This window comes from Homo sapiens, chromosome 19 (genome assembly GCF_000001405.40).
Source record: "Homo sapiens chromosome 19, GRCh38.p14 Primary Assembly".
In the NCBI taxonomy this organism is placed as follows: domain Eukaryota; kingdom Metazoa; phylum Chordata; class Mammalia; order Primates; family Hominidae; genus Homo; species Homo sapiens.
The window spans coordinates 43,907,337-43,912,623 of record NC_000019.10 but is presented as its reverse complement, the minus strand read 5'-3'; the positions used below and the strand labels follow the sequence as shown (position 1 = coordinate 43,912,623).

The 5,287-nt window shown below is 38.0% G+C and overlaps 1 long non-coding RNA gene across 1 annotated transcript in view; it reads right to left on the bottom strand.

Annotated features, from left to right (window-relative positions):
* ZNF45-AS1 (ZNF45 antisense RNA 1) overlaps positions 1-5,287 on the bottom strand; it is a 33,949-nt gene that overhangs the window by 23,191 nt on the left and 5,471 nt on the right. The window lies entirely within an intron of this gene.

The window sequence follows — 5,287 nt, the reverse complement described above, 5'->3', positions numbered from 1 at the left end:
CCTCCAGTGCCAAGTATTATGATTTCTATACCATAAATTAATTAGGTCTGTTCCTGAGCTTCCTATGGATTTAGTATGTACTCTTATATCTGGATTCTTATGATCAAATGTATGATCATCTCAGTAGATTCAGAGAAAACATTTGACAAAATTTAGCATCCACTCATGATGAAAAAATTCTTCAATGAGATAAAAGGCATCCATGAAAATCATATAAGCTAACATTCTTTTTTTAATTAGGGAATAATTTATATACAGTGAAACTGACTCTATCATGCATTTTGGCAAGTGCTGTTATGTGAACACCACCATCACAATCAAGATAGTCTATAGTTCTAGTACCCCCTGCCCTGAAACTTGCTTGTTCTGTTTAGTCAGCTCCTCTCCCCACCACCAGCCCTTGTCAACTGACTCATTTTCTGTCTGTATAGTTTATATCATTTCCAGAATGTCATATAAATGGAATTCTAGAGTATGTTTCCTTTGGAGTCGCACCTTTCACTTAATGCTTCTGAGACTCATCTGTCTTGTTGCATATATCAGTACAGAAGTCATTTCTTTTATTGCTGAGTAGTAGTCTGTCATATGGATGTTCCACAGTTTGTTTATCCATTTATCACTGGTGGGATACTTGGGTTTTCAGTTTTCAGTGATTATGAAGAAAGCTGCTGTCAACATTTGCAAACAGTTTTGTGTGTCCACATTGTCTTAGTAAATATTAGGAGTGGAATTGCTGGGTTGTATGGTAACAGTATACTTATCTATGAAAAACTGACAGACTTTTCTAAAATAACTGTACCATTTTACATTCCCACCACCAGTGTATGAAAGTCCCAGTTCCTTAACTTCACTGACAATTGGTATGTCAGGGTTTGGTTTCATTTTTATTTTGTTGTTAGGATTTCAAAGGGTTATAGCGGGATTTCATTTTGGTTTTAATTTACACTTCCCTAATGGCCATTGAGCATCTCCACTGCTCGTTTGCTATCCATTTGCCTATTTTCTTTTGTGAACTATGTTCAAATCTTTTGTCCATTTTTTTAAAACCTGGATTGTTTCTTATTGATTTTTGAGAGTTCTTTATATGTTCTGGATAGATATCTTTGTCAGTTATGTGTTTTGCAAATATTGTATACCATTATGTGGCTTGTGTTTTTATTCCATTAACAGTATTTTTCACACAAGAAATTTTTTTTAATGAAGTTCCTTTTTTGTCTTTGATGGATTGTGCTTTTGGTTTCAAATATAAGAACTCTGCCTAATCCAAGGTCACAAAGATTTTCTCCCACTTTTTTATCACAAATTTTATGTTTTCAGGCTTTATATTTAGGTCTATGATATATTTGAGTTAGTATTTATATAAGATGTGAATCTTTATATAAGGGAGGTCCACTATTTGCATATGAGAATCCAATTCTTTCAGTATTGCCATGGCACCTTTGTGAATCCATTAACCATACATGTATGGGTCTTTTTCTGGCCTCAGTGCAGTTTCATTGATTTATGTGTCTATCATTTTGCCAAATATTGCACATCTTGACTTTTGTATCTGTATATAATGTCTTGAAACCAGATACTGTGAGTCTTCCAACTCATTATTTTATTTTGGCTATCAAATTTGTCTTGCCATAATTTCCAGAATCAGCTTTGTCATCTGTAAAAATAATTTGCTGGGATTTTTATTGAGATTGCAATGAATATATAGATGAGTTTGGGGACAACTGACATTTTAGCAATACTGAGAATGTTCTAAACCATACACACAGTATCTGCCTATTTAGGACTCCCTTATTACATCAGTAATTTGTAGTTTTAACATATAGATTCTGCACACACTTTATTAGATTTATACCTACATATTCCTTTTTTAGGGTTCTAAATTAGTACTGTTTTTCAAATTTCAATTTCCAATTGTTCTTTTTCAATATAGTTGATTGTTTTATGTTGACCTTGTGTCCTATGATCTTGCTAAACTTAGTATTGGTTTAAGTAGCTGTTCTATTGATTGCTTGGGATTTTCTGTGTAGACAATCTTGTCATCTGCAAAAAAAAAAAAAAATGTTTTTCCCTCCCAATCTATATGCCTATTACAGCACCTCTACTATGATGTGGGGAAACTCCTTCCAAGGTTAGGTTTGAATGTCGAAACTCCTTCCAAGGTTAGGTTTGTATGTCAAACTCCTGACGGTAGTCCTTTGGAATGATCAAAGAAAGATGATTACGGGGTGGGAGGGCTGTCCAAGAAAAGATCCAAAACAGAATAGTCAATGTTCAGGCAGTTTATAAAAGGGGATGTCCTGCCAGCACACAGTTTAAAAGAGGTGGTGGAGGGCATATGCACTTGTGGAGCAGTAAGTGAACCTCATCAGGATTGTGAGGGAGACTGGACATAGGCAAGAGATGCTTATAGGTGGCTTGCACTAAGTCAAACACCAAGTTTCCTCCAGTCTTCACAATTCACCCCTGATGTTTGGGTTAGCACAGCAAACTCCTAGGTTTCCTATAAATAAACTTGCATTTGAGAGAGGCCAAATATGCAAAGTTGACCCAATAAAATTAGGCCAGCAATTATAATAGCTCCCTGAAAGATAATGTGGTGCCAGATAATGTTAATCCAGGCAGAAGGAAGCAGTCAGGAGAAGAAATAGGGATTCAGAAACTCTTGCCACATTTTAGTAACTTAGTAACTTCGTTGACTGTTTTGGTTTGTTATCTACTGAACGATTCTGGAGAGCTTTCCTGTTTTTACTGACCTTCACACAGCCAGAGGTTCCCTTCAGAGGGCCACCTTGAGATGCCACTAGTTAGTCTAATGCAGTATTTTATCAACTACCATGACAGCTACAGAGCTTTATCTCATTAAGGGCTTCTAAATCTTGGGCTGTTTGGTACATATGGTCTGCCAGGAATTGTGACGTTGTTTGGCTGGCAGCTCTAAGAATGAAGTCTGCTACAGAACTGAAAAGATCTAGACTTATGCCTGTTATACCAAAGATTGTGATGAGGCCCAATTTATAATATACAAAAAGGTGGCCTGGTATCCCCTTTTATGGGAAGGGCATTCACCAGTGCATACGTGTGAGGCCCTTGTACTTTCAATGGCTTTATATAATATCAATCGTTGACAGAGGGCAGGAAAGGTGGGACTGTGAAGGAAAAATTCAGAGGAAGAACCTGATGAGGTTGAGGGTGCCTGGGGAAGTAAAGGAGCTGGAGGGTGACCAGAGAGGATGGCGACTGGTTAGTAGTATGGATATCACATACCTCCAAGAGTGTGGAAATCAGTTGTACGAGTGGTTACCCAGGTTGGGACGCCTGCTGGCAGGCCCAGCATTGTTGGAGTTTTATCTCTTGGATGACATGTTCTGTTACTGTTTCACATGTATTATCTGGCAAGTTGAAGAAAGTAGGATGTGGTGTCATGATGAAGGAATAGTGCAGAGTGAAGCATGGATTGTTGGACAATGGGACTGGCGCTGATGTGGTTGTGGAGGTCACTGTGGAGACCACAGAGGGGTAGTTATCATGTCCAGGTCCCAACTGTTAAGCATGAAGGGAAGTATAGTTTTAAAGGCTTTTGTGTAGGGGTCATTTCACCCAAAGGATGAAATTAAGTGGTGTGGCACCAATGGGTGTAAGTTGGCTAGTTTGTAGGGCATTGGCTTACACCAAAAGGGCATCACATGAGGAGCCAATAGAATGGGACAAGGACAAATCTAATCTGCAGTTCCTTGATGCAGAAGAGTAGGTCATTGGCAATGGTAGGTCCCTGTGTGCCGTCATTCATCAGAGTTTGGATATACCTAGATAAGTAAGGGCCTGCCAGTAAGCTTTAGCTTCTTGCAGAGTGTGATTACATTGTGCAGGACAGGAGAATACACAGCTGTAGACAGCTATATAGCAGGCAATGTGGGAGCTTCAGTTAAGTGTGAGGTTTTATGTTAATCTGGCTAGGTGTTGGGCTGTGTTTAATGTTTGATTTAGCTGAAGGTGTCAGAGGTTTCAGTTTTACCTTTCTGTAGTGTCCCTTCTTTTTCCTTCCCTGTTGTCTTTGAATTTCCCTAAGAACTTTAAAAATAGAATCTGTGTCTTGCAGCCTTCTCACTTTTATTATCCTGTTGTTATACAAGAATCCTATTGATATGGTGGTAAAGTGTGGGGAGAGGGGAAGTGTTCTACAATCATATGATTTAATCTGTCTTTTAGTGGGCCTGAGTCCCTGGCCTGTGATCTTCAGACGCAGTTCTTAGTCTTTCTGTTTTCCCCTTAGGTAAGACAGGAAGGCGAGTTGACATATTGCCTTTCTCCCCAGTTATATAAGTATCTGATAAAGTCATTTCCCTTGGATAGCAGTCCTTTGTTATGTGGAACACTCTCAGTGTATTTCAAAATAGTTACTTTTGTCCTCCTCCAAAACATGAGATTTTTCTTGTAAATTCACCATGAGAACCTAGTAGCATTACTGGACGTAAATTCCATGAAAGTGTGAGGCTCCCCCTAAGACTGCGTCCCTGGAAGATTTTTGAAGCTAGCCTCCAATGAATTCTCTAAATTACCAATTAAGCGCTCCTACCAATAGCATTGCTAATTACTTGTTATCAACTAATTGGTAACACTTAGTTACCAACACTTAGTTACCAATTAGCTGGTAATACTTAATTACACTGCTAGTAAATATTACCAATTAGCTGGTAATACTTAATTAGCAGTGTTATTGGTAACACTTAGTTACCAATATTCTTTCCCCGCCTAAATGGTCTTACCTTGGTCCTTCTGCTCCAAGTAAGCTGATCTCCGTTTGCTTGTCTCTCCAGATTTAAGGCTGGTGGTTTGCCTTGTGACCTCTATTATCTGACAGATCCAGAAAAAATTAATTTCTTTAGTTTTTTTTGTTGTTGTTGTTGTTGTGAGGATGGGAGTGATCATCCCAGAAATCTGACTGACTTCCAGAAATTGGATTATCCATTTTTTTTTTATTGTTGAGTTCTAAGAGTTTTTGTATTCTAGATACAAGTCCATTGTCATATGTATGATGGGCAAATATTGTCTCCCATTCAGTGGGTATCTTGTCACTTTCTTGATGGTATCATTTGCAGTAAAAAGTTTGAATTTTGATATACTCCTATTTATTGTTTTGCTTATGCTTTTGGTGTATCCAAAATATCATTGCCTATTCCAAGCTCATGAAGATTTGCCCCTGTGTTGTCTTTGAAGAGTTTTATAGTGTTAGCTCCTATAGGATTTAGGTCAGTGATGTGAGTTAATTTTTGTGTATGGTATAAAGTAG